Source organism: Homo sapiens, chromosome 1 (assembly GCF_000001405.40).
Source record: "Homo sapiens chromosome 1, GRCh38.p14 Primary Assembly".
Classification (NCBI taxonomy): Eukaryota; Metazoa; Chordata; class Mammalia; order Primates; family Hominidae; genus Homo; species Homo sapiens.
Window position 1 is genome coordinate 150,265,252 of NC_000001.11, and position 26,941 is coordinate 150,292,192.

General features: G+C 47.3%; 4 protein-coding genes across 24 annotated transcripts, besides 11 other annotated features; 2 read left to right on the forward strand and 2 right to left on the reverse strand.

The window, feature by feature from the left end:
- APH1A (aph-1A gamma-secretase subunit) lies at nucleotides 153-3,765 on the reverse strand. Of its 8 annotated transcripts, NM_001077628.3 has the most exons (7): nucleotides 3,447-3,765; nucleotides 2,706-2,876; nucleotides 2,465-2,538; nucleotides 2,105-2,227; nucleotides 1,824-1,951; nucleotides 1,282-1,405; nucleotides 153-943 (listed from the first exon to the last, which is right to left on the reverse strand). In NM_001077628.3, exons 1-7 carry the CDS (start codon nucleotides 3,557-3,559, stop codon nucleotides 879-881), a joined length of 798 nt encoding a protein of 265 aa, NP_001071096.1. In that variant the 5' UTR covers nucleotides 3,560-3,765; the 3' UTR covers nucleotides 153-878. The 8 variants fall into 8 exon arrangements, 5 of the variants coding, with proteins under 5 accessions (NP_001071096.1, XP_047278022.1, NP_001230701.1 ...); NR_045033.2 differs by having other exon boundaries at nucleotides 153-1,405; nucleotides 2,706-2,740; XM_047422066.1 differs by lacking the exon at nucleotides 2,706-2,876.
- C1orf54 (chromosome 1 open reading frame 54) lies at nucleotides 3,480-15,673 on the forward strand. 8 transcript variants are annotated; one of them, XM_047430446.1, is made up of 8 exons: nucleotides 3,480-3,569; nucleotides 7,033-7,162; nucleotides 7,548-7,612; nucleotides 8,836-8,919; nucleotides 10,490-10,548; nucleotides 11,271-11,381; nucleotides 14,389-14,490; nucleotides 15,584-15,673. In XM_047430446.1, the coding sequence occupies exons 3-7, from the start codon at nucleotides 7,567-7,569 to the stop codon at nucleotides 14,485-14,487; spliced, it is 399 nt and encodes a 132-aa protein (XP_047286402.1). In that variant the 5' UTR covers nucleotides 3,480-3,569; nucleotides 7,033-7,162; nucleotides 7,548-7,566; the 3' UTR covers nucleotides 14,488-14,490; nucleotides 15,584-15,673. The 8 variants fall into 8 exon arrangements, with proteins under 8 accessions (XP_047286402.1, XP_047286411.1, XP_047286417.1 ...); XM_047430455.1 differs by having other exon boundaries at nucleotides 14,392-14,490; XM_047430461.1 differs by lacking the exon at nucleotides 8,836-8,919.
- Nucleotides 3,547-4,004: a silencer, noted in NCBI's record as "fragment chr1:150241198-150241655 (GRCh37/hg19 assembly coordinates)". NCBI's record gives its function as "represses an EF-1alpha promoter that drives an FKBP-Casp9 reporter gene in an ReSE screen in K562 erythroleukemia cells {active_cell/tissue: K562}" and the evidence as "EXISTENCE:reporter gene assay evidence [ECO:0000049][PMID:32094911]".
- Nucleotides 3,547-4,476: a biological region, named in NCBI's record as "OCT4-NANOG-H3K27ac hESC enhancer GRCh37_chr1:150241516-150242127".
- Nucleotides 3,805-16,931, reverse strand: LOC124904414 (uncharacterized). The gene is made up of 2 exons (XM_047438213.1): nucleotides 16,410-16,931; nucleotides 3,805-4,078 (listed from the first exon to the last, which is right to left on the reverse strand). The coding sequence occupies exons 1-2, from the start codon at nucleotides 16,763-16,765 to the stop codon at nucleotides 3,805-3,807; spliced, it is 630 nt and encodes a 209-aa protein (XP_047294169.1). The 5' UTR covers nucleotides 16,766-16,931.
- Nucleotides 3,865-4,476: an enhancer, noted in NCBI's record as "OCT4-NANOG-H3K27ac hESC enhancer chr1:150241516-150242127 (GRCh37/hg19 assembly coordinates)". NCBI's record gives its function as "activates a minimal SCP1, AML or CMV promoter by ChIP-STARR-seq in naive H9 embryonic stem cells {active_cell/tissue: H9 hESC(naive)}" and the evidence as "EXISTENCE:reporter gene assay evidence [ECO:0000049][PMID:30033119]".
- Nucleotides 4,058-4,107: an enhancer, noted in NCBI's record as "active region_1677". NCBI's record gives its function as "activates an Ori minimal core promoter by ATAC-STARR-seq in GM12878 lymphoblastoid cells {active_cell/tissue: GM12878}" and the evidence as "EXISTENCE:reporter gene assay evidence [ECO:0000049][PMID:35858748]".
- Nucleotides 4,168-4,217: an enhancer, noted in NCBI's record as "active region_1678". NCBI's record gives its function as "activates an Ori minimal core promoter by ATAC-STARR-seq in GM12878 lymphoblastoid cells {active_cell/tissue: GM12878}" and the evidence as "EXISTENCE:reporter gene assay evidence [ECO:0000049][PMID:35858748]".
- Nucleotides 15,047-15,341: an enhancer, noted in NCBI's record as "tiled region #3157; HepG2 Activating DNase matched - State 8:EnhW". NCBI's record gives its function as "activates a minimal TATA promoter and a strong SV40 promoter by Sharpr-MPRA in HepG2 cells {active_cell/tissue: HepG2}" and the evidence as "EXISTENCE:reporter gene assay evidence [ECO:0000049][PMID:27701403]".
- Nucleotides 16,178-16,287: an enhancer, noted in NCBI's record as "active region_1679". NCBI's record gives its function as "activates an Ori minimal core promoter by ATAC-STARR-seq in GM12878 lymphoblastoid cells {active_cell/tissue: GM12878}" and the evidence as "EXISTENCE:reporter gene assay evidence [ECO:0000049][PMID:35858748]".
- Nucleotides 16,369-17,569: an enhancer, noted in NCBI's record as "BRD4-independent group 4 enhancer chr1:150254031-150255230 (GRCh37/hg19 assembly coordinates)". NCBI's record gives its function as "activates an origin of replication core promoter dependent on BRD2, P300/CBP, MED14 and CDK7 cofactors, and independent of BRD4, by STARR-seq in HCT116 cells {active_cell/tissue: HCT116}" and the evidence as "EXISTENCE:reporter gene assay evidence [ECO:0000049][PMID:35650434]".
- Nucleotides 16,369-17,985: a biological region, named in NCBI's record as "BRD4-independent group 4 enhancer GRCh37_chr1:150254031-150255230".
- Nucleotides 16,608-16,687: an enhancer, noted in NCBI's record as "active region_1680". NCBI's record gives its function as "activates an Ori minimal core promoter by ATAC-STARR-seq in GM12878 lymphoblastoid cells {active_cell/tissue: GM12878}" and the evidence as "EXISTENCE:reporter gene assay evidence [ECO:0000049][PMID:35858748]".
- Nucleotides 17,044-17,985: an enhancer, noted in NCBI's record as "H3K27ac-H3K4me1 hESC enhancer chr1:150254706-150255646 (GRCh37/hg19 assembly coordinates)". NCBI's record gives its function as "activates a minimal SCP1, AML or CMV promoter by ChIP-STARR-seq in primed H9 embryonic stem cells {active_cell/tissue: H9 hESC(primed)}" and the evidence as "EXISTENCE:reporter gene assay evidence [ECO:0000049][PMID:30033119]".
- On the forward strand, nucleotides 17,303-21,842 carry CIART (circadian associated repressor of transcription). 7 transcript variants are annotated; one of them, XM_047446893.1, is made up of 6 exons: nucleotides 17,303-17,572; nucleotides 17,957-18,382; nucleotides 18,554-18,629; nucleotides 19,175-19,253; nucleotides 19,346-19,457; nucleotides 21,179-21,842. In XM_047446893.1, the coding sequence occupies exons 2-6, from the start codon at nucleotides 18,017-18,019 to the stop codon at nucleotides 21,701-21,703; spliced, it is 1,158 nt and encodes a 385-aa protein (XP_047302849.1). In that variant the 5' UTR covers nucleotides 17,303-17,572; nucleotides 17,957-18,016; the 3' UTR covers nucleotides 21,704-21,842. The 7 variants fall into 7 exon arrangements, with proteins under 7 accessions (XP_047302849.1, NP_001287770.1, XP_024309143.1 ...); NM_001300841.2 differs by having other exon boundaries at nucleotides 18,211-18,382; XM_024453375.2 differs by having other exon boundaries at nucleotides 18,263-18,382.
- The last annotated feature ends 5,099 nt before the right edge of the window (nucleotides 21,843-26,941 follow it).

Here is a 26,941-nt window from a genome sequence, read left to right on the forward strand (position 1 = left end):
TAAACCACTAGCCCAGATTTCTGCCCTTGCACCAAGGCTATGCTTGGAAATCAGTGGTTGCCAGGTTAGGAAAGTGGCTGGATGAGAGATCTGAGGACAGAAATCTCAATTAACATGCTATCCCCTCCCTTAAAAGCCAAGTTCCCCCACAATTACAAATTCTTTTTTATTAGTCAAAATCACAATCACCTTGATTAAAAGGATGGGACACTCCACCCTCAGCAGAAAATGATACAGTTTATAGAAAACCTCCCCGCCCCTCCCACACCCCAATTAAAAACTACAAAAAAATCTCCCCTCCTTCCCTACGATGTCATGGTAGTCTGACTCCTCCAGTGGCACTGCAGCTCTGGAGTGGCCAGCTCACCACAGCACCCTCCACTTCACCTTGGGGAGAGGAGGGATGCTGGTGGTTAAGGAGGTTAAAACCATTAGTTCCAGTAATGCCAGTTCCCAAACATGCACTTCCTTCCTTTCCCCCAAGGTCTGGGACCAAGGAGAAAGGGACCGAAATGAGCCCAGCCATGAGGAGCAACTCGAGGAGAGAAAATATAGCCCAAGGAGGTTAGAAGAGTTCCAATATACCTCCTCCCTCCCCCCACCTCAAAAAAGAAAAAAAGGCAGTTTAGGGTATTTATCACACCAAAAATGGTTCCCCCTCAGGCCTGAGAAAAAGACCAAGATGTCCAGTCTTGAGGGAGTACTGAGAAACTCAGAGCTCATCTATCCTTGAGCCTCCATTAATTTCATCTCCAGGGCAATGGCTAAACTAGGTCCCTTTTCTTGGCAACCTGCACTGTCCAGAACTGGAGATGGAGAAATACAGGGCGAGGACATCAGGAGGGCACCCCAGGCCCAGGGGTCCCCCCTAGGTTCCCTCAGTCCTCGGGTGGGATGCGCAGGGCAGAATACACCATCACCCGACTGTCCTCCTGCCGTCGGCCTGCAGAGGGGAAGGGAGGTGAGTCTTGGGCAGGGTGAGAGCAGAGCACTGACACAGGGGGAGTCCTGGACACAACAAGGGGGTCCCCAGGTGGTGGGGATAAGTGCAGATTCAAACCCACCAGTCACTGACTGGCTGAACCCAGGCTGCTCCTGGTAAAGCTTAGAGACTAACGGTCACAAAAGGACAAAGCAAAACCCTGGAGGTAGTGGGGTAGACCGACGAGAAGGAGACAGAGAATGTGGGCAATGGACCCGGGCTGGGGCTGGGCTCAGTCATGGGCAGTGGACAGGCAGGTGGGATCTGTCAGGCGATCAGTCCAGGTAGTCAGTCCTTACACAAGAGGCTGCGCTGAATACTTCGGAGGGACCCTCCAGCTGTGATGAAGGCCCAGAGCCCCATGGAAACAGTGACTGCATAGATGGGCAGCAGGCTGGCCTCATACCAGGGGTTCAGGAATGTCTAGGAAGGAGGGTAAGAGTAGGAAAGAGATTAGATTCTCCCTCGACCTAATCCCCATATTCTCTCTGTACCTTTCTGACTCCCAGATATCTCTCTCAAATTCTCCAGTCTTTCCCTTCAGAGCACCAACATCTTGTGGTTAAGGGGACTTTTGATTTTCAGCTCCTCAGAAACTCAAAGGTTTCTGCCGCTCCTGCTCACCTCAGGCCCTCTGCATTACAGTTTGACTAATCCTTTCAACCTCCTCCCCAGAGCAGGTGATAGAAATGATGCTGAGGTGAGAGACCTTGAAAGACTCACCTTTCCTCCTCCTCCCAGGTAAGTTAAAAATGTTAAGAAGTGAGGATACCCTTTCCCCCACATCCCACTCACCATTAAATGCTTTTCTCCCTAACTCAGGCCCCTGTCTCCAACTCACCAGTCCCGATGTCAGTAGGTGACTCCCAACCACCAGGCCCAAAGCCCAGTACCGTCTCCTCTCACAGGCATCAAAGAACACAACTCCCCAAAAGGTATGGAGCAGGATAATGGCTGCTGTCAGAAAGGCTGCAGGGAGGGAGATGGGGAGGAGATACATCCCTGATCTTCTCCCAGGCTCCTGAGATGTTGAGCCAAAGAAGTCTCTCAGGGAAGGCCAATAAATCAGATCAGGGACAAGGATGGATGGGGGGTAAAGGCTAGATAGAAGGTGGATCTTACCTGAAGTCAGGAAGTAATAGGGTGAGTCTCCATGGATCCCAACCACACCTGGCCCAAGTGCATCAGCCAAAATATTGATAACAGAGAAGACACCACTGATGATACCGAAGGAGAGACCAGAAACTGGGGGAAGGGAGGATCTCATCAATGTCAGAGATCACACTATTGCCTGTTCACCACTGACCCCTCCCCATTCCCGGTTACAATTCTTTCACATCTACTCTCCCTCCAGACCAACTTTCTTTGGAAGTGACGGATGAAGGAAAGTAAGAAGCCACTTAGAACATGTGGATATTTAGAGACTTCCCTAGAGGAGGGGGCTGTCCAACTCCCTCCTCCAGTCCCTCTCCCTTGGCTCACCATAGGCCATCTGGCGGATGGAGATGGGTGATCTTCCGTCCTCACTCAGCGATGCTAACCCCTCATCTGCCTTCCTGGGGTGGGGTGGGGTAGGGGAAACATGAGGGAGGGCAGGGATGCTCCTTTCCCTCTAATGTCCTCCCTTAGTGCCTCCTCTTCCAAACCAGCACCCAGGGGCTGCCCCACTTCCCATAGTGCAGTCCTTTGCCCCTCTCCCCTCCAGACCACTCCATCTTCTTACTTAAGCAGCTTGTAGTAGGCAAAGCGGAACACCTCCTGTAGAAGGACAGAGACAGCAGCACCAAAAATCAGGAGGCCGTACTGGAGCCGGGCATCTGACCGGTCGGTCACATGGACCAAGATGAACCAGACCACAGAGGCCAGGAGCAGGGAGACCAGCCAGAAAAATGCCCTGAGAAAAGACAGGGGCAGTGAGACAAGCAATAGTAGTGGGAGCCAGAGAAATCAAGGAGGGAAACCAGCCAAAGCTGCTTGAAAAGTGGAAGTTAGCCTTCCGGATGGTTAGGGAGACATGGACCAGGTAGGGTAACTGTCTCCACCAAGAGACTCATCTGTAGAAAAGTGAACGCACTGGAAAGGGGAGAAATCTAATTAAAGAGTCTTCAGAGCGATGACAGCCAGAGTGTGCGAGCACGGAAGGGCGAGGTATCCGTTCCTGGATCCTCCCCTAAGGCACCTGACTCGGCCTGCCTAGGTCAGCACAGCCCCCTCACGAGTCTCGGCCTTGGGCCTTCTCTGACGTCGCTGGGAGGAATATAGGAGGAATCTGTGAGATCCTTGGAAGGTGGAAACCAACTGCGGGAAAGGACAAATCTCCCAGACCCAACCCCTCACCTCCGCCCAAACTTCACCTCCGACTTATCGTCCCCAATTCAGGCTCCCAGGCTTGCCCCAGTTCCTCCAGCCCCTTCCGCACCTCTCTCTTCGACGCTCTCCCGCGTCTCCCGGGCCCTCTACTCACCCTGCGACCAGGATGATAACGCGAAGCGGGTCCCCAGCCACAGTGATCAAGAAAAGCGCGAAGGCCGGGCCGAACGCGACGAAAGTGCAGCCGAAAAACACCGCAGCCCCCATGGCTGGTCAGGTGGGAAGGGGGGTGGGGGCCTGACCAGGACAGGCAAATGGGAGGGGCGCGCCAGCTGGGGAGTCCGCGTGGGGTGGCAACGCGACCCCACGAGGGGCGCGGTGCAATGTCACCCCCAGACCCCGGGGAAGGGGAAGGGGGGGAACCGAAACCCCAAATGAAGGTCCGCGCCACTTCCTCTACGGAAGCCGAAGAGGGGACAAATCCCGGCCGCAGCCCCACGGCCACCTCCCATCTAATCCCCACCCCCGGAAGGCCAATGGAGAATCAGCGCGGGCGGAGCTGCTCGACCTGCTGGGAGTTGTAGTCGCCTTCCGAGGCCTTGACTTCGTCCTGGGAGTGGCTCGAGCCGGTTAATGGGGGTGGGCCGGGAATGGACCAGTCGAGACACCAATTCCAGGGTTCGGTTGCGCTTCCGTCGCTGTTTCCTTTCGTCACTTTGTGGGGAAAAGTGGTAGCAATCATACCTCTTCTTGAAGGGCTGCAGAGGGGGTAGATCCTGTTTGAATCTAAGGGACAAATACAAAGAGAGCACAGGATGGGGCGCAGGGAGATAGGGACGGGTATTGTTCTTACTTGAATGAGAGGAAATGGGCTAGAGCTGCTGCCTAAGAGATGAAGATTACATTAAAAAGTAGGAGCTCTTCGGACAGACTAGTATAATAAACATGGAATACAGTATATCGCTAATGAAGCCTTCATCTGTAATGACAAGAGAATCGGAGAGAAGCAAAAGGAGCCTGGAGAGAAATGTTAGGAAGGCATTTTGAAAGAGTCCGGGAGTTTAAAAGCAATTAGAGCGATGGGGTTGAAGGAAAACGACACCCCCACCCCACCCCCGCCATAAATTCCTTTTATGTCATACTTCCTCTATTTATTTTCTGAAAAATGAACCTCAGTGGTGCGTTTTCCTGAGGCTGAGAGGGGTTGTATATTAGAGTGAATGAAAGTTAAAGTAGGCTGAGCGCGGTGGCTCACCCCTGTAATCCCAGCACTTTGGGAGGCCAGGAGTTTGAGACCAGCCTGGCCAACATGGCGAAACCCCATCTCTACTAAAAATACAAAAATTAGCCAGATGTGGTGGCGCACGCCTGTAATCCCAGCTACCTGGGAGGCTGAGGGGCAAATATAGCTTGAACCCAAGAGGCAGAGGTGGCAGTGAGCTGAGATTGCGCTACTGCACTACAGCCTGGGCAACGGAGTGAGGTTCTGTCTCAAAAAAGAAAAAGAAAGTTAAGTAGGAGAGGAGGGTATTGTAATCTCATTTGGATGGGGAGAGGTTAGTCCTTAGGGAAGATGTTAGGCAAAGGAATCTGAGGATGGAAAAGAGGAAAGAAATCTGGAATATTGTTTTTGAAAGCATAATCAAAGTACCAAAAAAAACCCCACAGAAATTGTTTAAAGATAACCAAACTTCCTTTCCTTCCTGGAAGTGATTTATTATTTAATCCATATGTGCACACTCACATACATGTTTTACATGTCTTCCAGGATATTCTGGAAAGGAGCTGAGGAATAGATTGTATAGATTTACACGGAGGCTGGTCACAGTGGCTCATGCCTGTAATCCCAGCACTTTCGGAGGCCAAGGCGGCTGGATCACTTGAGGTCAGGAGTTTGAGACTAGCCTGGCCAGTGTGGTAAAACCCCATCTCTACTAAAAATACAAAAAATTAGCCAGGCATGGTGGTGCGCACCTGTAGTCCCAGCTACTCAGGAGGCTGAGCCACGAGAATAGCTTGAATCTGAGAGGTGGAGGTTACAGTGAGCTGAGATCCCACCACTGCACTCCAACCTGGGCGACAGAGCAAGACTCTGTCTCTGAAAAAAAAGAAAGAAAATATTTACATGGAAAGTCACCAGGCAAATTATTCCCTAATGAGACTAAGAGGGTAGCTGGGCGCAGTGGCTCACGCCTGTAATCCCAGCACTTTGGGAGGTCGAGGCAGGCAGATCACGAGGTCAGGAGATCGAGACCATCCTGGCTAACACGATGAAACCCCGTTTCTACTAAAAATACAAAAAATTAGCCAGGCGTGGTGGCGGGCGCCTGTAGTCCCAGCTACTCAGGAGGCTGAGGCAGGAGAATGGCGTGAACCCAGGAGGCGGAGCTTGCAGTGAGCCGAGATCGTGCCACTGCACTCCAGCCTGGGCAACAGAGTGAGACTCCGTCTCAAAAAAAAAAAAAAAAAAATTAAGAGGGTAGCGTTATCATGACCTGTGTTCAAGACTCCAGTATGTCCTGCTTCTGAGCCCAGCAGGCAGAGTAAGGTGGATAGGAATGAGACAATTCTCATGTCTTTTTTTTTTGAGATGGAGTCTCACTCTGTTGCCTAGACTGGAGTACAGTGGTGCTATCTCGGCTCACTGCAACCTCTGCCTCCCAGGTTCAAGTGATTCTCCTGCTTCAGCCTCCCTAGTAGCTGGGATTACTGGCGCCTGCCACCAAGCCCAGCTAATTTTTGTATTTTTAGTAGAGACAAGGTTTCACCATGTTGGCCAGGCTGATCTCCTGACCTCAGGTGATCTGTCCGCCTAAGCCTCCCAAAGTACTGGGATTACAGGCGTGAGCCACTGTGGCCAGCTTCATCTCTCCATTGAGCTGTTACCACAGCATCTTCTGACCATTGACAGGAGGCTGTAAACCTATCTTGTTCATGGGTGTTTCCACAGACACTTGCATAGTGCCTGACTCATAGTAGATGTTGAGCAGATACTTATTAACTTCCCTTAAGAACAAAGCAAAACTGTCTTTTCTTATTCCCTTGCCTATAAGCTCTCAATTGCCTATCACACTAGGCCTAGCACACTGTGCCTAGCACGTATGTTGCTAAGGGTTTCTGAATTGAATGAACATGGGAAACATAAAAGCAGAGGAAAGGATAAAAACTCTACACCTGTAGGACGGAATGAAGGGAACATACCAAGTGACTGAATGTGGGAGGGAAGGTGTGGCACCTGTAGCAGGGAAAGAGACTATCTGCTTTCTCCCTTCTTCCAACCTGCATCCTGGAAGTTGAGAAAGAGATGAGGTGAGGCCGGGCACGGTGGCTCATGCCTGTAATCCCAGTACTTTGGGAGGCCAAGACAGGTGGATCATCTGAGGTCAGGAGTTCGAGACCAGCCTGGGCCAACATGGTGAAACCCCGTCTCTACTAAAAATACAAAACTTAGCTGGGCATGGTGGCACGCGCCTGTAGTCCCAGCTACCAGGGAGGCTGAGGCAGGAGAATCACTGGAACCCGGGAGGCAGAGGTTGCAGTGAGCCGAGATCGCGCCACTGCACTCCAACCTGGGTGACAAAGCAAGATTCTGTCTCAAAAAAAAAACAAAGAGGTGAGGTGAGGTCAGTGTTACCAGAAAGGAAATAACTGACCATGGCTGAGAGACTTTTAGCTGAAGCCATGCAGCAGGTGCTTTAAGTCAGACAATGATGGGTAAATATTGTTCCTATTCTCTATAGCTCCAGACAGACAGAAGAAAGGGATTCTTTTCAGTCTAGAAAAATGCTCACCCCTTCCTCAGAACATTTCCACTGTGACGAAAAGAGACTGATGAAGCCTCAGAGAGAAAGGCAACTCTGGGTGGTGATGGTAAGTCAGAGACAGTGAGAGGGAGGGTGAACTTTTTATGAGGCCTTGGAGGAAGGAAGGAAAGCCGGGAGAGGGGAAACTTCTTGGTAGGCTTATTTTTTATTTTTATTTTGGTAGTGACAGTGGGAGTCTTGAATGGATCTAATCTAGGGCAGGGGGAGCTTAAGAAACATGTTTGCATCAAAACCCCCTTTTGCCTCTCAATCTGGGCAGCTCTGGCTGGGGACCGGCAGTAACCGGAGATCTAGTCAGTCAGCCAGTAGGCGGGGAGTTCTGCCCCCTGGGAGGAGAAGAGTTGCTGCAGCTCCTTCCCTGCTTTGGAGGAGGAGGGGAGGCGGGGTAAGTTTGGTGGGAAACTCTGTAATTTCCTTTTTTACTTTCACAGCAATAGTGCAGAATCCAGAATGGATGTCCTCTTTGTAGCCATCTTTGCTGTGCCACTTATCCTGGGTAAGTCCACTCCTCTCTCTGAGCTTTTGTGCCAGGTCTTCTACCATAAATGGGGTGGGAGAAAAAAAATGAGGAGTGGGTGAGAGGTACATTTCAGTGGGGAGCGATAGAGTTTTCTCATCGTGCTGGGGTCCGGTGTTGAGGGCAGAATGGAGATCTGGAAGGCAGAGCCAGGAAAGGGGGAAAAAAGCAGAGTCCTGTCAAACAAGGAGGATGGAGCTCCAGACACAAGGAGGCCCTAGCAACACTGAGCTCAGTTCTCCATCACCACGGAAGTTGAACAAGATGACAGGGGCTAAAGTAAGGGTGAAGGAGGGATTATTGGAAGGTGTCACAGTCTGAAACTAGTAGTTAGGGTATCTCCTTTCCCAGAGAATTGGAGAAAAAAACCTGCTATTAGTAAAGACACAGAAGTGGGGTGACCTTTAGGGTAGTGGAAAACTGGCTGTCTTCAGGGACAGGGTCCCAAGAGTAGCTTGGCTCCTTCCCTCCTTTGTTCCCCAGTCTACCAGGTGTGTCTCATTGTTTCCTTTTCCTCTAGATTCTTGTGTCATTAGCTTGGAGTTGAAGGGAAAGCATTCAAGGAGCTCAGGGAAGTGTTTAGCAGGAGGCCTGGAGTTCTTGATCCAGTCATATCAAAGCCACATATTTTTAGTTCTGAAAGGGAAGAAAAACTAACAGAGATGGGTCATTTTAGTCCAGCTGACTCATTTTAAGAAAGCGGATGTTAAGTGGATTGTTCAGGGTTATTCTGTTAGCAGTGAAGGTGGAACTAAAGCTCAAATCCAAAGCCTAAGGGTGTATGTTAGTTATTTGTAAGAGATACTGATAAGAAAAGATGTCTCACAAATACAGTAAGATCTGGAGCATACTAAATAGAAGACTTGGCGTTTTTAATTCCTGGTCTCTACTTTTCCTACCTTTTTTAGGTCTGGTTCTCCCTTTGGGTTTATAGTATGTGAAGGGGACTGTTTTCTGTTTTAGGAGTTCCTGGATTGAAAGGGCACGGAGTAACAGGCCTCATTACAGATATGGATCCCAGAAGACTGAGAGGGGTGTAGAGGTGCACAGGCAAGAAAGGAGTATGACTATTGGAGGAGAGAGAGAGAGAGAGAAAAGAAAGAAAGAGCAAGAAAGCTGGGAGCGCTGAGGTCATCTCCAGGTGTCCTTTTGTTAGTAAGGTGTTCCAGATGTCCCTTGACCTCTAGTCCTTGTCCCCATAGGACAAGAATATGAGGATGAAGAAAGACTGGGAGAGGATGAATATTATCAGGTGGTCTATTATTATACAGTCACCCCCAGTTATGGTGAGTACATGAAAGGCTCTTGCCCTTAGCCAACTGGAGAGAGGCTTCAGGATATTTAGTTCTGAGACTTTGCTCTTCACTTTGAAGCAGAGCAATGGGGTCAGAGAAAAATCTGGCTATGAACAAAACCTATCAAGACTCATGATGGGGCCGGGCGTGGTGGCTCACACCTGTAATCCCAGCACTTTGGGAGGCTGAGGCGGGCGGATCACGAGGTCAGGAGATCGAGACCATCCTGGCTAACACAGTGAAACCCTGTCTCTACTAAAAATACAAAAAATTAGCCGGGTGTGGTGGCGGGTGCCTGCAGTCCCAGCTACTTGGGAGGCTGAGGCAGGAGAATGGCATGAACCCGGGAGGCAGAGGTTGCAGTGAGCTGAGATCGTGCCACTGCACTCCAGCCTGGGTGACAGAGCAAGACTCCATCTCAAAAAAAAAAAATGAAAAAAGATTTATGATGGGCTGGGCGCAGTGACTCATGCCTGTAATCCCAGCACTTTGGGAGGCTGAGGTGGGTGGATCACCTGCGGTCAGGAGTTTGAGACCAGCCTGGCCAACATGGTGAAACCCTGTCTCTACTAAAAATACAAAAATTAGCTGGGCATGGTGGCACCTGCCTGTAGTCCCAGTTATTCAGGAGGCTGAGGCAGGAGAATCGCTTGAACCTGGGAGGCAGAGGTTGTGGTGAACTGAGATCACACCACTGCACTCCAGCCTGGGCGACAGAATGAGACTACGTCACAAAAAAAAAAAAAGACTCATGATGATGTTATTTTTCCAGATAGTGATTTTTAGATGGGAGGATTGCTTGAGCCCAGGAGTTCAAGACCACCCTGGACATCATAGCAAGACCTTGTCTCTATAGAAAAAAAAATTTTTTTTTTTTGAGACCAAATCTCATGCTGTCACCCAGGCTAGAGTGCAGTGGCACAATCTCAGCTCACTGCAACCTCTGCCTCTCGGCTTCCAGCTATTCTCTTGCCTCAGCCTCCTAGGTAGCTGGGACTACAGGCGTGTGCTACCATGCCCGGCTAATTTTGTATCTTTAGTAGAGACAAGGTGTCACCATGTTGGCCACGCTGGTCTTGAACTCCTGATCTCGTGATCTGCCCACCTCAGCCTCCCAAAGTGCTGGGATTACAGGCTTGAGCCATCGTGCCCGGCCAAATTTTTTTTTTTTTAATTAGCTGGGCATGGTGGCACATGGCTGTAGTCCCAGCTACTCAGGAGGCTGAGGCAGGAGGATCACTTGAGCTCAGGAGCTGGAGGTGGCAGTGAGCTATGATTGAACCAACTGTACTCCAGCCTGTTAACACAGTGAGACCCTGACTCTAAAAAAAGAAGAACTTGAAAATTTTTCAAATTTGTAAATTATTTTAGATACCTACATTGAAAATATAAATGCATACACATTCACAGTCATTTTTAACATTAGTTAAATAAAATTGGATTATACCAATAAATGTTACAACTTAAGTTAAACTATTCTGAGTAATTTCTTCCCTTTTCATTTCCAGATCTAGAGTTACATTTTTCTTTAATTATTACTGATTTTCTTTCTCCTCTGCAGATGACTTTAGTGCAGATTTCACCATTGATTACTCCATATTTGAGTCAGAGGACAGGCTGGTGAGTGAACTCTACATCTAAAAGGGTTAGGATAAGTAACAATTAAAAAGAAACTGGCCGGGCGCAGTGGCTCATGCCTATAATCCCAGCACTTTGGGAGGCCAAGGCGAGTGGATCATTTGAGGTCAAGAGTTTGAGACCAGCCTGGCCAAAATGGTGAAACCCCGTCTCTACTAAAAATACAAAAACATTAGTTGGACATGGTAGCATATGCCTATAATCCCAGCTACTCAGAAGGCTGAGGTAGGAGAATCACTTGAATCCGGGAGATGGAGGACGCAGTGAGCCAAGATCGTTCCACTGCACTCCAGCCTGGGTGACAGATCCAGACTTCATCTACAAAAAAAAAAGAAAAAAGAAAAGAAAAGAAACTGGGCAATGTTGAAATGTATCTGATTAACAAGAATAAAAATGAGTTTGATGAGGAGAAACTAAGTAGTAGGCCCAAAACAGATTTGTTAACCTATCTGGGGAGGAGAAAAAAGCCAGAACTTTATAAATTGTCCTCAGTAAGTTTGCTAAGACACTGAGGAGGGGCATCAAGGGACTTTTGAATGAGATGGGTACAAATCTATGCAAGCATAGGGTAGGGGGGAATCCCTGAGCTTAAGTCTTTGGGCTGGGTGGAGGTGGTGAAGGGGAGAACTTTAAGTAGAGAATCTATGAAGATGTTGGATGGAAAAACTGATAACTCTGTGTTTCCCAAATCCTACTGAGGGTAGAACAGGTTGGATAAGGACATAACAGAAGCAATAGAGACTACCATTAGTCTTGAAACAGCACGTGCAGACCATCCGAAGCCTGTAACTGTGAAACCAGTAACAACGGAACCTGTGAGTTGATTGGGGATTGGGGGCTGGGGGGAGACAGGACATCCCTAGTGACGTGGAATACATAGAGGGCTGGAATACCAGGCTTTGGTGGATGGGAGAACCAAATAATTAGTACTTCATTGCAGGTATTCATCTCAACTTGGCCATGTTTCACTAAGATTTAATACTAACCCTGTTTACAGAACACTGGGAAGATATGGTACAGTTAAATTTCAGTTCAGTAGTATTCAATAGGTATGTAATCTATGCCTAAGGCTGCTAAGGTAACTGATGCTGATAAAAAAGAAATCTATGTTACTGTCCTCAAGGATTTATAAAATTCAAGTTTACGAAACACTTAGAACAAAATGAAAAGGTATGTTATGATGTTAAATTATATATAAATTTGAAAGCAGAAGATACTGGCAGTGCTTTAGCCAATGTAAGAAGAGAGATTAGTACAGGCTAGAGTTGTCTGAAAAGCTTTCAAGAGGCATTTGTGCTTGAGATACACCCTGAAGAATAGATGAGCTTTTGATTGGTGGGTAGTTATGGAAGGACAGAAGCAATTAGGAGGAAGAATAGTTATTCCAAGAGTGAAAGAGGCCAGGTATGGCGGCTTATGCCTGTAATCCCAGCACTTTGGGGAGGCCAAGGTGGTCGGATCACTTGAGGTCAGCAGTTCAAGGCTAGTTCAATGGCCAACATGGTGGAAACCCCATCTCTACTAAAAATACAAAAGTTAGCCAGGCGTGGTGGTGCGTGCCTGTAATCCCAGCTACTTGGGAAGCTGAGGCATGAGAATCACTTGAACCCGGGAGGCAGAGGTTGCAGTGAGCCGAGATCACGCCACTCTACTCCAGCCTGGGCGACAGAGTGAGACTCTATACTAAAAAAAAAAAAAAAAAAAAAAAAAGAGTGAAAGAGCTGCACAGGAGGGGGGAATAGAACAAGCATAATATGTTTAGCAAATAGGGTATGATTGAAGGAGAGGGTATATGGAAGGGAACAGTGGGAATTAAGAAAAATATAAAATTTACAAGGCTCCTAATACTTGCTTAGTAATTTCACATGTGGCAACATAGGGGCAAATTTCAGAGAGTCTCAGGTGTCAGGCTGAAGTCTGGACTCATAATCAACAAGGAGCCTAGTAAGTTCTTCATTATGGTAAAAACACGATGAAAAGTGATATTTTAGAAAAACCGGCCAGGTGTGGTGGCTCACGACTGTAATCTCAGCACTTTGGGAGGCTGAAGTGAGCTGATCACCTGAAGTCGGGAGTTCGAGACCAGCCTGACCAACATGGAGAAACCCTGTCTATAGTAAAAATACAGAATTAGCTGGGTGTGGTGGCACATGCCTGTAATCCCAGCTACCTGGGAGGCTGAGGCAGGAGAATCGCTTGAACCTGGGAGGCGGAGGTTGCAGTGAGCCGAAATCGCGCTATTGCACTCCAGCCTGGGAAACAAGAGTGAAACTCCATCTCAAAAAAAGAAAAAGAAAAACCACTCTTCAGGTTGTATGCAGGATGTAAATAATTTAGTGGAAAGCAACTCATGAGATTTGCGTTGTTCCAGAAACAATCTGTACTCTGGCATTATGAATGGAGAGGAGAAAAATAAATATTATGAAGAAAATACCTTGCTTGAGTGATAATTTTATATGAAGTATAAATGAGGAGTGAGTTAAAATAACTCATGGGTTTTAAACATGGATGTCTGGGAAAATGGTTGACCAAAGTGGGAACTATGGGAGGCCAGAGTGGTTTAGGACAGAAGTTATTAATTTGGTAATGGCCAAGCTGAGTTTATGGTGACAGCCCTATGAGGGTGTCCTAAAGGTCACTGAACTAGATCAGGGCTAGAGTTCTAAGTGCAAAGTCACAGATATGAAAGTAAATGAGCTCAACAGAGCCAGTACACACAAGCTCAGAAGGCCAGTGACTGTGCCTGTAGTGAGTGGGAGGAAGAGAAATTAATGAATGGAATGGAGAAGGATTTGACTGGAGAAGTAGGCAGATAGCCAAGTTTGTATTATAGAGTCTAGAAGAGAAAGTTTAATATAATCCATCAAAAGCTACCAAGAGGCCAAGGAGGAGGAGGTCACTTGTAACTCTCAAGAAAGTAGTTTTAACTGAGTGCTTGGAGAAAAGCTAGATTTTTGTGGAGTTAAAGAGTGAGTACATTATGAGGAAAGGGAGGTGAGTACAGACCAACCATCTAAAAAATCTGGTAATGAAAAAGAGAAGCAACGGCTGGAAAGGGGAATAGGACCAAAGAGCAGCCTGCATATAGTTGAGCACAGATGAAAGAAGCCAGTAAGAATGGAAGTGAAAGATTGACAATAAGGGCAGTTAATTCTTTTTGAAGTATACAGTAGGCTGGGCGCAGTGGCTCACGCCTGTAATCCCAGCACTTTGGGAGCTGAGGTGGGCGGATCACCTGAGGTCAGGAGTTTGAGACCAGCCTGGCCAACATGGCAAAACTGTGTCTCTACTAAAAATACAAAAATTAGCCAGGCATGGTGGCGGGTGCCTGTAATCTCAGCTACTTGGGAGGCAGGCAGGAGAACTGTTTGAACCCTGGAGGTAGAGGTTACAGCGAGCTGAGATTGCACCACTGCATTCCAGCCTGGTGGATATAAAAATAATAATAAATAAACAAACAAATAAATAAAATATAGAGTAGACTCTCTTTAGATTGTAAATTCCTTGAGGACAGGAATCTTGTCTTATTCATATTTATGTCCCTTTCTATAGCACCTAGCACAGTGACTAGTATAGTATAATGCACATAATAGATAAAAAATAGAAACAATTGAATTGAATTGGCCTCCCTGGTATGGTCAGGGATAGCTGAAAGGCACAGAAGGACTCCTTACAGTGATGGGGAAGGATGGATCTTTCTCTAAGCCCAAAGGAAAGGAAGACAGAGGTTGTTGTAAAGAGGTGGCAGTCTTTCTGGAGGGGGACAGAGAAGTGGTAGGAGGAATGACACCAGCCTACTGTGTGGGGATGTCGGTATTTTAGCAGAGTCCAGATCTGAACGATGCCGTGTCCAGTTTGCGAAGTCCTATTCCCCTCCTCCTGTCGTGTGCCTTTGTTCAGGTGGGGATGTATTTCATGTAGAAGGTAAGAGTGCAGCCACTGGCTTTGGGGGAGTCTGTGAAATAATATTTTTTAACTTCCCACACTAAACCGAAGTAATTCTTACCAGTATCTCTAGTTAGTGTTTCCAGCCTGGTCAATTATCAGCCACTGAAGGAAGAGATTTAGGCTCATCCCTATAATCCCAGCACTTTGGGATGGTGACGTGGGAGGATCGCTTGAGCCCAGGAGTTCCAGACCAGGCTGAGCAACATAGTTTAAGTCCAGGCTGAGCAACAGACCTTGTCTCTACAAAAAAATTAAAAATAAATAAATAAGAACTCCTCTACAAGACGTTAAAAAAATTAAAAATAAAAATTAGTTGGGTGTGGTAGCACAGGCCTGCAGTCCCAGCTATTGGGGGGGATGGGGTGGAAGGATCCCTTAAGCCCAAGAATTGGAGGCTGCAGTGAGCCATGATCTGGCCACTGTACTGTTGCCACTGGGCAACACAGTGAGACTGTCTCAAAAAATAACAAGTAAAATGAAAGAAGAGGGATCACATTTAGAAAAATCTTCTTATTCAGTCTTAAAGAAGTTTAGGAGATGCTGAGGCAGACTTTTGTGATGAGTCATTACTTTTTCTGAACTAAGAGGACTTCAGGATCTCCTAGAGCAGATAGATGATGGGGTTGGGGGAATACTTCTCCAAGCTTCCAAAATGTCTGAACAATCAAAGCTAGTTCCAGCCTGGCCACGTTTCAAGTCATGGCGAATGCCAGAGGGCAAAGTGGGTGGGTCTTACAACCTGGTAGAGTCAAGAGGCAAAGTTCAGAGGCAGAACGGATGGCGGTTCTCTGATGTATGGCAGGGCGGTGGGAGAGAAGGGAAGAGAAAGCCGTATTATAGGAAAAGAATTTTTAAATTGGGATGCTAAATAACCATTGATCATAGAGAGATTCAGCAGGAGGTGAAAGGACTGTGGAGGAGAGGGGTACACACACATCTTTCCCAGGAGCTATCACAGAGCAATCCCAGCTCAGAATATCTGGGGAGTTTCCATAGAGTGTGGGGGGCATGAAGGGGTTTCTCGGGTCTCCTGACTCCTTTTATTTTCTTTCTTTCTCTGCTTTTTTAGGTGGAAGAAGGCTGCTATGACTCTTTGGATGGGAGTCTGGCAAGAGGAAATTGGAAGATAAAATAAATAATAAGTGAAATAATCTGGTTACCATCTACTCCTTCATGAGTCTGTTCTAAAGTCACAACTAAAGAGAGCGCCAGGATTTAGAGGCAGCAAGCGTAGATTGGAAGGGGAGGTGGGTGACAATTGAATTAGAGGGCATTATGGACTGAATAAACCTGCAGTTTGGAGAAGACTGGAGAAGGGCACCCACAGACAACAGGTTTATTCACAGTCCATATTGGTAATTCTCTTGTTTTATTTTATTAAGTATGGTGTTGAAACAGTGTGCTTGGGGAAACGAGGTTGAGGTTTTAGAATCTTTTTTTCTTTTTATAAGAATAAGCACATTGTTAAAACATAAGGTAAAATATCAAAAACTACTTAGAATAGACTTAAAATATTCACACCTACCCACCCCTACCCACACCTCTGTCCAACAATGTGCCTTTTGCAGTTGGTAATTATGGCAGGGACAAACTCACTTAAATTTTTTTTTAATTCGCTATCCTCGGGACCCTAATTAGAATTGGGCTGCCCCCTTGCGGTCTCTCCGACGTCCTATCTTCAACCAGCTCACAGTCCTTGGGCCCTGCTCTCCTCTCCATTGTACTCTCAAAATGCAAGGCGCAACGACAATAGTAACGTCCCAGTTACTTCTGAGACTCTCTAAACTCTGGACTTGCCTCCCTCCCCTCCTTCAAAGTCTTTCGAATCTTCTCCAGCGGACAAATGAAGGGACTGAAGCTGGACAAAACCATAACCTAGGAGATCAGGGACCTACCCCATTCTGTTCCCCGTGCTTGGAATCAGATAATTTAGGACGCCGGGCCCGAGAAGCCTGGATAAAAAAGTCAGGAAAAACTGAGTTTCGTTTTGACCTCTAGCGTCGTGGCGGGCTGGCATCTGAGCTGGTAACGTGCGTGGTAGGTTATGTAAGAAAAGGGATGGAGGAGCCGCCCCAGCGGGAGCCAGAAAGGACGCGGTGTTCTCGGTTGCAATCCCCACCCTCCTCACCCAGCAGGGCAGGAGGCACCCAACTTGGAGGAGAAAGGGGTGGGGGAGGTGAAACAGAGACCGGAGAGTCACGAGGGCTGGGCCGCCGAGAGCAGGAGAATATACCGTGTCACACACCTCCATTCTCTCACACACGTTGCAGACACAAATCACTGACGGTTTCCACGTGCTGCGCTCGTGAGCGGAGGTGTTCAAAGAGGGGGCAGATGAGTTACTTCCCGAGACGGAACCGGGGGTCCCACGTCCGCCGCCTTCAGTAGCACAACCAATCTCTGAACACTCAAACCGCGCATCTCTGGCGCATCACCATCCTATTTAAGGCCACGGGCTCCGCCCTTTTCCTCCCCTCCCTTCTTTTCCACTCTTTTTCCATCCTCCTCCTTTTCTCATCACCGGGTCCTCTCCAGCAGCCGCATGTAGGGGAGGAGCACGGAATGCTTCCCTTACAGCCAATCATCACCTGGCTGCCTCTCTACTGGCTGAGCCCCTTTGTACTGTAGCAAATGGGCTATGGACTTCAGTAACTAGAGTCACGTGTTACCGGCGACACAACCAATGAGGGCGCGAGATCTGTGTAAGCAGGGGGAGGCACGTGCCGGGCCGCACGTGTCTGGGAGGGGGGGGAAGGGGCGGGGCCCACTGAGAGAGGCGGAGGTGGGTAGATAGACCCGGAGAGACGGCGAAGGAGCTGGAAACCGAGCCAGGGCTGAGCCGGCTGACAACAGGTAAGGAGATTCGGAGGACAAAGCGAGCTGTTAGGGAGTATTTGGGAGTGGATTTGGGGGCTGAATGCAGATCTTGGTATTGGGAGGGTTTGCATCACGTGGCAGGTGCGAGCCCAGAGAGACCGGCGCAGGGATCCTGATCTTGAAAGATTGGGAGAGGGCAGGAGGCCAGTCTCTATGGGGGCGGTTCCCGTAGGATCACCAGGTGGGTTCGCGTGCCCAGATTGACTGCTTGTGGGTGGCATGGCCTCAGGTGGAGAGGCTTGCTGCGGACTCAGGCTGGCGAATAGCCCTGGCGAACAACGGGCGGAGGGGAAGGTGTCTTTCAAGTCGGTATTTACTCTGAACTGAGGGAAGAAAAGAACGGAGGCCGCGTCAGACCGAGAGCTGCTCTGCGGCGGCCAGAGAGGGAATCCCAAGCTCTTAATGGGCGGGGGTGGGGGTAGAAATGTCTTTTTCTATTGTGTTTGAGACCGGTAATATTGGGGAGGGGGAGAACAAGTATTATCCCACGCAGTACACCCCAATCTCCCAGTTCATTTCCTAATCCTTAAACTCTGGTTTCAAACTCCCTCGCTTTGCTCTTCAGTTGCAGGTTCCGATCTTTGGGTACTCCAGGAGCTGTTCTATAGCCCCTGCTTCTGGACCTATGGATTCTCCATCTAGCGTTTCTTCCTATTCCTCCTACTCTCTCTCTTCGTCTTTTCCCACCTCCCCAGTGAACAGTGACTTTGGCTTCCCCTCTGATAGTGAGAGGGAGGACAAGGGGGCCCATGGGCCCAGGCCAGACACTGTTGGGCAGAGGGGAGGTTCACGGCCCAGCCCGGGTCCTATCCGCTGCAGGCATCGATCGAAGGTTTCCGGTAACCAGCATACACCATCTCATCCGAAACAGCGGGGTTCGGCTTCTCCTATGGCAGGATCTGGGGCGAAAAGATCAAGAGATGGTGAACTGGAGACCAGTCTAAACACCCAAGGTTGTACCACAGAGGGAGACCTGCTGTTTGCCCAGAAGGTAAGAGAAAGCAGGTGAAAGGAGATTCTCCTGGAGTGCCTTAGCACCCAGCTGGTTGATAAGGACCCTGTGAGGACAGTATTGACTCCCAGATTTGGAGGTGAAGGAAGAGCCACTGCTGGTGTGGGCAGTTTTTTGTCTTCTTACAGCCTTTGTCCTATTTTCCTACAGTGTAAAGAACTCCAAGGATTTATACCTCCTCTCACAGACCTACTCAATGGGCTGAAGATGGGTCGTTTTGAGAGAGGTAATCTTATTGTTGCATTCATTTGGGCTAGGTTCATTTCTCTTTCTCTTTCCCTCTTTTGACGTGTATTTCTCTGAAGTTCTTGTTTGGGGCCTATATTACTCCTTTTTTGCTACTATGACTTTATTATTATTATTATTATTATTATTATTTTGAGACGGAGTTTTGCTCTTGTTGCCCAGGCTGGAGTGCAATGGCGCGATCTCGGCTCACTGCAACTTCCACCTCCTGGGTTCAAGCGATTCTCCTGCCTCAGCCTCCCCAGTCGCTGGGATTACAGGCGCCCACCACCATGCCCAGCTAATTTTTGTTATTTTTAGTAGAGATGGGGTTTCGCTATGTTGGCCAGGCTGGTCTCAAACTCCTGACCTCAGGTGATCCACCCACCTCAGCCTCCCAAAGTGCTGGGATTACAGGCGTAAGCCACCTTGCCTGGCCCGACTTAATTTTTTTAGATCAATCAATTTTAACCCCCTTCTGTTCTTCCTTTACCTGACTACATGCTTGAATCTCAATCCTTAATCTCTCTCTGTCCCTGTCCCCAGGATTAAGCAGTTTTCAGCAGAGTGTGGCAATGGACAGGATCCAGCGTATTGTAGGTGTTTTGCAGAAGCCACAGATGGGGTAAGTCCCGCTGGTTCTTTGCTTGGGTCTTCATAAAAAGGAGATTTCTCCAATCCTGTTGCTGGTTTTTTAAAGCAACGTCATTTTCACAGGGAACGTTACCTAGGAACCTTGCTACAGGTAGAAGGGATGTTAAAGACTTGGTTTCCACAAATAGCTGCCCAGAAGTCATCATTGGGTGGTGGCAAGCATCAGCTGACCAAGGTAAGAACTTAAGAACACGAGGAAGAGGTGGGAAAATAGCCAAGAAAATGAAATGTGCATGCAGAAATGGCCCCTTTTGCCATTTTCTTTTGAGTCTTTTCTTCAAGTTTCTTTTCAGGGAAGGAAATTCCTAAACTTTCTGCATTGTCTTGATTCCTACATGTTTTGTTGTTGTTGTTGTTGTTGTTGTTTTGTTTGAATCACTGGGAGGAACTCCATGAAGTTTAATCCTATCCCTCATGCCACAGCTTATCTGCTTTCTGCGTAGATACAAAAGGCTTTTTACCTGGCCAAATGATTCATGCGGGAATACACCTCAGCTTCTCTCTGCAAACTCTTTTTTCCCTACTGCCCCCAAACCCTTCCCTTCTCCTTCTTTTCATTTCTGCCCACGTATCCTTGTGCCAAACCCTTTGACAGTTTTTGAGTCTACACTGGGTTTCAAGGACTGGTCATAAGAGGTACCTCACTGGAAGTAGGGGAGGGGGGCACCAATAGCAGCAGTGTTGATAGATTCTTAGACCTGGTATAGAAGTGACCTATTTTCAGCCGGGAGCGGTGGCTCACACCTGTAATCCCAGCACTTTGAGAGGCCAAGGCGGGTGGATCATGAGGTCAGGAGTTCGAGACCAGCCTGGCCAAGATGGTGAAACCCCGTCTTTACTAAAAATACAAAAATTTGCCAGGCATGGTGGCGCACGCCTGTAGTCTCAGCTACTCGGGAGGCTGAGGCAGGAGAATTGCTCGAACCCGGGAGGCAGAGGTTGCGGTGAGCCGAGATCGTGCCATTGCACTCCAGCCTGGGAGACAAGAGCGAAACTCCATCTAAAAAAAAAAAAAAGTGACCTATTTTCTGTCCTCAAATAATAGGGTATGTAGAGGGCATTCAAATGACGGAGAAGGAGAGTCTCCTGTAGATAATCACCAGTCCTAATTTTCAATCAGCCATGGTTATTATTGCTGTGACTAATCTATTAAAAAATAAGTAGGCCAGGCACAGTGGCTCACTGTAATCTTAGCACTTTGGGAGGCCAAAGCAGGAGGATTGCTTGAGCCCAGGAGTTTGAGACCAGCCTGGGCAACATGGTGAAGGCTGCTATCTACAAAAAATACAAAAAGTAGGTGGGCATGGTGGCGTGCACCTGTAGTCCCAGCTGAGGCTGGGTGGGAGGCTGAGGTGGGAGGATCTCTTGAGCTTGGGAGGTCGAGGCTGCAGTAAGCCATGATTGTGCCAGCCTCGTTGACAGAGTGAGACCCTGTCTCAAATATAAAATTTTAAAAAAACAGTAGGAGGATCTTGCCTGAATATTAATTTACACTTCTTAAAGAACTCAAGATAGAATATTCGAATTTAAATACAGAATTTGGGAAATGATGATTCCAATTAAAAATAGACTTCAAAGAAATTCTAAAAGGGATTATTTTATAAATAGTGAGAACCTATGGAACTGTTTGTTTTTTCTTCATCTCTGGATATCCAGTGTCTAATATAGTATGTGGTCCATAGTAGGCCATTTATTTGTTTAATAAATGAAAGTATAATTTAGTTACCAAAACTTTTACTTAATCATGGCCTGGCAAGATCATATCTGTTGCATAAAACGAGGTATGTTTGCATTGCAAACTGAGTTCCCAAGGAATGCAAAGGTTTAAGTAACCAGGTGGAGCTCATCTGAATGCTTTCTCCACATTTCTTTTTTTCTCATTTCTCCCCTCTCTAGCATTTTCCAAGCCACCACAGTGATTCAGCTGCTTCCTCTCCTGCATCTCCTATGGAAAAGATGGACCAGACACAGCTAGGACATCTAGCTTTAAAACCAAAGCAGCCTTGGCACCTCACACAATGGCCAGCTATGAACCTCACCTGGATCCACACCACTCCAATTTGCAACCCCCCTCTCAGCTCCCCAGGTACTATCTCCTTTAGCCATGGTCCTTTAGGCACTGGAACCGGCATTGGCGTCATTCTTTTCCTCCAGCATGGAGTGCAACCCTTCACCCACTCTGCCCCAACCACCCCAGTCCCACCTACTACAGCATCTCCTGTCATCCCTGGTGAGCCTATGAAACTATCTGGAGAGGGTCCTCGTTGCTACAGTTTGCCAGTAACTCTGCCATCAGACTGGAGCTATACCCTATCCCCTCCCAGTCTACCCACCTTGGCCAGAAAGATGACCATAGGACACCGGGAGCAGCAGAGAAGCCATCCTCCAGTTGCTGCTGATGCTCATCTTCTCAACCTCTAGCCCAGGGCATACAGCTGTCCACTGTGACTTCTAATTTGTGTAAATATTTATGTATATATGTATTTTTACTATTAATGTGTGCATTTGTGTTGAGGGAAGATAAATCCTTTCTGATTAAAGAAATTTTTTTATACCTAAACAGTTTGCTGATTGGGGGAAATTGAAAACTTTCTGCTTCCAAAACCAATCCTTATCCTCTGAGCTGCAGAAAAGTAGAAAAGGGATGGGGATGTTTGTGAACATGAGCTCTACCAAGTTAGAGTCTGGATGACAATATAAGACTTATAGGAGAAGGGGACTGTGCTGCTGTTTTCCTGGGACATCCTTGAAACAGTTACAGAGTTCAGAGTTGGGTTTATGGGGTTTTTTTGTTGTTGTGTTTTGAGATGCAGTCTCGCTCTGTTTCCCAGGCTAGAGTGCAATGACACGATCTCAGCTCACTGCAACCTCCGCCTCCTGGGTTCAAGTGATTCTCAGGCCTCAGCCTCCTGAGTAGCTGAGGTTACAGCCCATGCCACCATGCCCAGCTAATTTTTATATTTTTGTAGATACGGGGTTTCACTACACGTTGGCCAGGCTGGTCTCAAACTCCTGACCTCAAGTGATCCACCTACCTCAGCCTCCCAAAGTGCTGGGATTACAGGCGTGAGCCACCACGTGCAGCCAGGTTTATGTTTTCATTCAGGCTCAGAGACTCTACCTTTCCCCTTGTTTTGACACCTTTGTAATCTTCCAGCTGGCCCAGACTTGCAGGTTCTTCTGCTCCGGGCTAGCTCTTTGCTTTGATGGGAGCTGTTGATGCCCGTGGTAAATGCATATGTAGGTTTCTGCTGCCAGAGGAAGAACACAAGAGCCAAAACAGCCACTGTGGTTGCCAGTTTTAAAGAGGAAAGGGCTCCTTAGAATTGTCAGACATGGGAACACCTCAAGACACTAGGCTTCATACTTACTCAAAAAGCTGCAGTTAGGTCAGGCGCAGTAGCTCATGCCTGTAATCCCAGCACTTTGGGAGGCTGAGGTGGGCAGATCACTTGTGGTTAGGAGTTTGAGACAAGCCATGGCCAACATGGTAAAACCCTGTCTCTACTAAAAATATAAAAAAATGAACCGGACATGGTGGTGGGTGTCTGTAATCCAAGGTACTCGGGAGGCTGAGGCAGGAGAATCACTTGAACCTGGGAAGTGGAGGTTTACTGCCCTCCAGCCTGGGTGACAAAATGAGACTCTGTCTCAAAAAAAAAAAAGCTGCAGGTGCTAGATGTATGCTAGACTAAGGGAGGCAACTCAGAGTTAGAAGGAGGCAAAAATGAAGACCATGAATGGATCTATAACTGCCCTTCTTTGTATTTTATCCTCTTTCTGATGTGTCTCACTTTCCACCAAAACCATTTCCTCTCCCATCCTAATCCTGTGTAGGGCATCAGGCTTCTCTGACAACTTAGTCATTGCTTATTGGCTCTTTAGTGTGTTTCTCATAAGTAGTTACACATCTTTCCCCCATTTCTCAAGTCTTCTGTTCTCAGTGAATAATTGTCTCGCCTTATTTTCAGAGAGTATGACCTCCTTTTAAAGGCAAACCTATCCATTTGTGCTTCTGATTACCTTCACCTCTGGAACTTTTGCTGTGTCACATATCCCCTCTTTATCTTGTAACTTCAGTTTGTCCCAACAATAATTATTTGTCCAAGTATCACAAGTATGATCAGACCAGAGTGGTGGCAATGGAATGGTTTGATCACAAATATGATCAGATCCTTCCTCCTTGAAAACATCTCTTAAGGCTGATTGTCCTCTTATTTTCTCCATACTTCTTGACAATGTAGTCTATTTATACTCTTTCTGATTCCTTTCTGCCACTCAGTCCTTAACCCCTTGCAGCCTAGCTTCTGCTGCTTTCACCTTGTTGCACCTTCCGAGGTCACTAATGAGCCCACAGAACCAGTATTATAATCTAGCTTCCACCTAATCAACAGCTATACCCTTTACAAAGGCTACGTACATTATGCTCTCTGTATCATTTGACACTCGATGCTGCCTACTGAAACTCTCCGCCCTCAGATCCCATGACAGCACACTACCCTAATCCTCCTCTTACCTATCTGGCAGCAATGTCTAGGTCTCTTAAGGGCCCCACTTCAACCTACTCCAAAGTGTGGGTGTTCCCCTAGACTCAGGCCTTGGCCCTTTTCTCTGACTATATCCTTTCATGGCTTTAATTATTGCTTCAACTTAGAAGACTGCTACAGCTTTATCTCTAGTCCCAATCTTTCCCCTGGGATGGCATACTGTTTAAATTTCTGTTGGACAGTTTTATTTACATATTGCTGGTACTTAAACATTATTGAAACTTTCAGTGTTTTAGAGCCAACATAAGCCTCTTGGCCGGGCGCTGTGGCTCACGCCTGTAATCCCACACCAGAGGCAGGCAGATCCCTGGAGGTCAGGAGTTCAAGACCAGCGTGGCCAACATAGGGAAACCCTGTCTCTATTAAAAATACAAAAATTAGCTGGGCGTGGTGGTGCACACCTGTAGTCCCAGCTACTCAGGAGGCTGATGCACCAGAATTGCTTGAACGCGGGAGGCGGAGGTTGCAGTGAGCTGAGATGCGCCACTGCACACCAGCCTGGGTGACAGAGTAAGACTCCCTCTCAAAAAAAAAAAAAATGCCTCTTGTATATCCAGTTCAACCCAACCTCCTCATTTGATACATAAAGAAACTTAGGGCCAGGTGCAGTGGCTCACACCTATAATCCCAGCACTTTGGGAGGCCAAGGCAGGTGGACCACCTGAGGTCGGGAGTTCAAGACCAGCCTGACCAACATGGAGAAACCCCATCTGTACTAAAAATACAAAAAAAAAAAATTAAGCTGGGCATGGTGGTGCATGCCTTTAATCCCAGCTACTCTGGAGGCTGAGGCAGGAGAATCCCTTGAACCTGGGAGGCGGAGGTTGCGGTGATCCAAGATTAAGCCATTGCACTCTGGCCTGGGCAACAAGAGTGAAACTCCGTCTCAAAAAAAAAAAAAAGAAACGAAACTTAGGAGACTTATCTAGGACAACACAATATGTGGACAGAACTCGGTTTCCAGTCTGATGTGTTTTCCAGTAATCACCAATCAAATTATTCTTTCCTGAAAACATGTCCTGCTACCACTTTTTTTCTTTTTTTTTGAGACAGAGTCTCACATGTCACCCAGGCTGGAGTACAATGGTGCGATCCCGGCTCACTGCAACCTCCGCCTCCTAAGTTCAAATGATTCTGCCTCAGCCTCCTGAGTAGCTGGGATTACAGGCACCCACTACCACATCCAGCTATTTTTTGTATTTTTAGTAGAGATGGGCTTTCACCATGTTGGCCAGGCTGATCTTGAACTCCTGACCTCATGATCCACCCACTTCGGCCTCCCAATCCCACGCCTGCTGGGATTACAGGCGTGAGCCACTGTGCCAGCCAGCTACCACTTTTTACAGTCTCCTCTTCTGTTAGTGCTATCTGTGGTATCACTAAGTACCATAGTTTTTTGTTTTGTTTTGTTTTTTCCTGGATAACTAGGCTTAAAATTTGGTGCCATCTGGTCACCAGATCCTTTTTATTCTTTATTTGGAATATCTCTTAAAATCCATTTCTTCCTATCCATTCCATTGCCACCAGTCTGGTCTAGACTTCACTGTACCAGTAGTCTCTCTTCTAATCCCTTTTCGCTGATAACCAAGTTAATTTTCCTAGAACAGTGCTTTGCATATCATATCCTATTCAAATTCTTCAATGGCTCTCGAATGCTTTGAGAAGAAAGTCCAAAATCTTTAGTCACAGTCTCTATTTTTCCCTGTGCTCCCCTGCATGATCTCTCTGTTGCAGGTTTTTGTTTTGTTTTGTTTTGACTCCTGAACACTACACCTTTTTGCCCCTAAGCTCTTGTTCATGCTGTTCACCTTGCCAAACCTTTCCTGCTTCTGTTATCTAAACCCTGCCCTCTTTCAACGACTAACTCAAGTCCATCCTATCATTCTTTCTGTTAAACATGATCTATACACTCAGTGTTTGGCCGTTTACTCCATTAAATGGAATCATGTACATAAAATACCTAGTGCAGGGTTTGGGGCCTGGTGGGGTGGCTCACACTTGTAATCCTAGCACTTTGGGAGACCAGCCTGGACAACATAGTGAAACTATTAAAAATACAAAAAATTAGTCTCTACTAAAAATACAAAAAATTAGCTAGGCGTAGTGGCATGTCCCTGTAATCCCAGCTACTCGGGAGGCTGAGGTGGAAGGATCACCTGAGCTCAGGAGGTCCAGGCTACAGTGAGCTATGATGGTGCCACTGCATTCTAGCCTGGGCAACAAGAGTGAGACTCTGTTTCAGAAAAACAAAAACAAAAATAAAAAACACCCACCTAGTACAGGGTTTAGTATATAGTAGGCTCTCAAAAATGTTACTCTCCAGCTGATCCAATGGTAGTGGTTAACAGAACTTATTAACATCAGTTCCTGTCTCCCTTCCTTTCTTTCAAAGTATCTTCATATTTTTTTTCTCTTTTTTTTTTTTTTTTTTTTGGAGACAGAGTCTCGCTCTGTCACCCAGGCTGGAGTGCAGTGGCACCATCTCAGCTCACTGCAACCTCCACCTCCAGGGTTCAAGTGATTCTCTTGCCTCAGCCTCCCAAGTAGCTGAGACTACAGGCGAGCGCCGCCACGCCCAGCTGATCTTTTGTATTTTTAGTAGAGACGGGGTTTCACTGTGTTAGCCAGGATGGTCTCGATCTCCTGACCTCGTGATCCACCCGCCTCAGCCTCCCAAAGTGCTGGGATTACAGGCGTGAGCCACCGTGCCCGGCATATCTTCATATTTTATTCTATTTGATTCCCATGACAAATTTCGTGAGACTGAACAGGGCAAAATTAGTCCCATTTTAGAGATGAGGAAATAGAGTGAGTCTGGCAAGGGCCAGATAGTAAATATTTTAGGCTTTGTAGGCTTTATGTCTCTATTGCAACTACCCAATTCGGCCATCGTAGCCCAAAGCAGCCATACATAACACACAGTCAAATAAGCATGACTGTAGGTCAACAGCCTTATTTACAAAAACAGGTGGAGCAGGATTTGACCTGTAAACTGTAGTCTCCAGACCCCTGGTTTTAAATGACTTCTTCAAGGTCATAGGCCTGATGAGTATTAGAATTGGGATAGAATCCAGATCTCCCAACTTTGAAGCCAGTGCCTTTCACCACATTA

Excerpts from the sequence above, each read along its gene's own strand:
- APH1A (NM_001077628.3), bottom strand. The coding sequence starts at position 3,559 with ATGGGGGCTGCGGTGTTTTTCGGCTGCACTTTCGTCGCGTTCGGCCCG. Across the intron at positions 1,952-2,104 it reads CTATTACTTCCTGACTTCAG|CCTTTCTGACAGCAGCCATT; the intron begins GTAAGATCCACC and ends CCCTCCCTGCAG. Across the intron at positions 1,406-1,823 it reads ACCTACTGACATCGGGACTG|ACATTCCTGAACCCCTGGTA; the intron begins GTGAGTTGGAGA and ends CCTCCTTCCTAG.
- C1orf54 (XM_047430446.1), top strand. The coding sequence starts at position 7,567 with ATGGATGTCCTCTTTGTAGCCATCTTTGCTGTGCCACTTATCCTGG. Across the intron at positions 7,613-8,835 it reads TGCTGTGCCACTTATCCTGG|GACAAGAATATGAGGATGAA; the intron begins GTAAGTCCACTC and ends TTGTCCCCATAG. Across the intron at positions 8,920-10,489 it reads TACAGTCACCCCCAGTTATG|ATGACTTTAGTGCAGATTTC; the intron begins GTGAGTACATGA and ends TCTCCTCTGCAG.
- LOC124904414 (XM_047438213.1), bottom strand. The coding sequence starts at position 16,765 with ATGGAGGTGTGTGACACGGTATATTCTCCTGCTCTCGGCGGCCCAGCC. Across the intron at positions 4,079-16,409 it reads AGCACGGGGAACAGAATGGG|ATTCAAACAGGATCTACCCC; the intron begins GTAGGTCCCTGA and ends TTTGTCCCTTAG.
- CIART (NM_144697.4), top strand. The coding sequence starts at position 18,017 with ATGGATTCTCCATCTAGCGTTTCTTCCTATTCCTCCTACTCTCTCTCT. Across the intron at positions 18,630-19,174 it reads GATGGGTCGTTTTGAGAGAG|GATTAAGCAGTTTTCAGCAG; the intron begins GTAATCTTATTG and ends CCCTGTCCCCAG. Across the intron at positions 19,254-19,345 it reads TTGCAGAAGCCACAGATGGG|GGAACGTTACCTAGGAACCT; the intron begins GTAAGTCCCGCT and ends TCATTTTCACAG.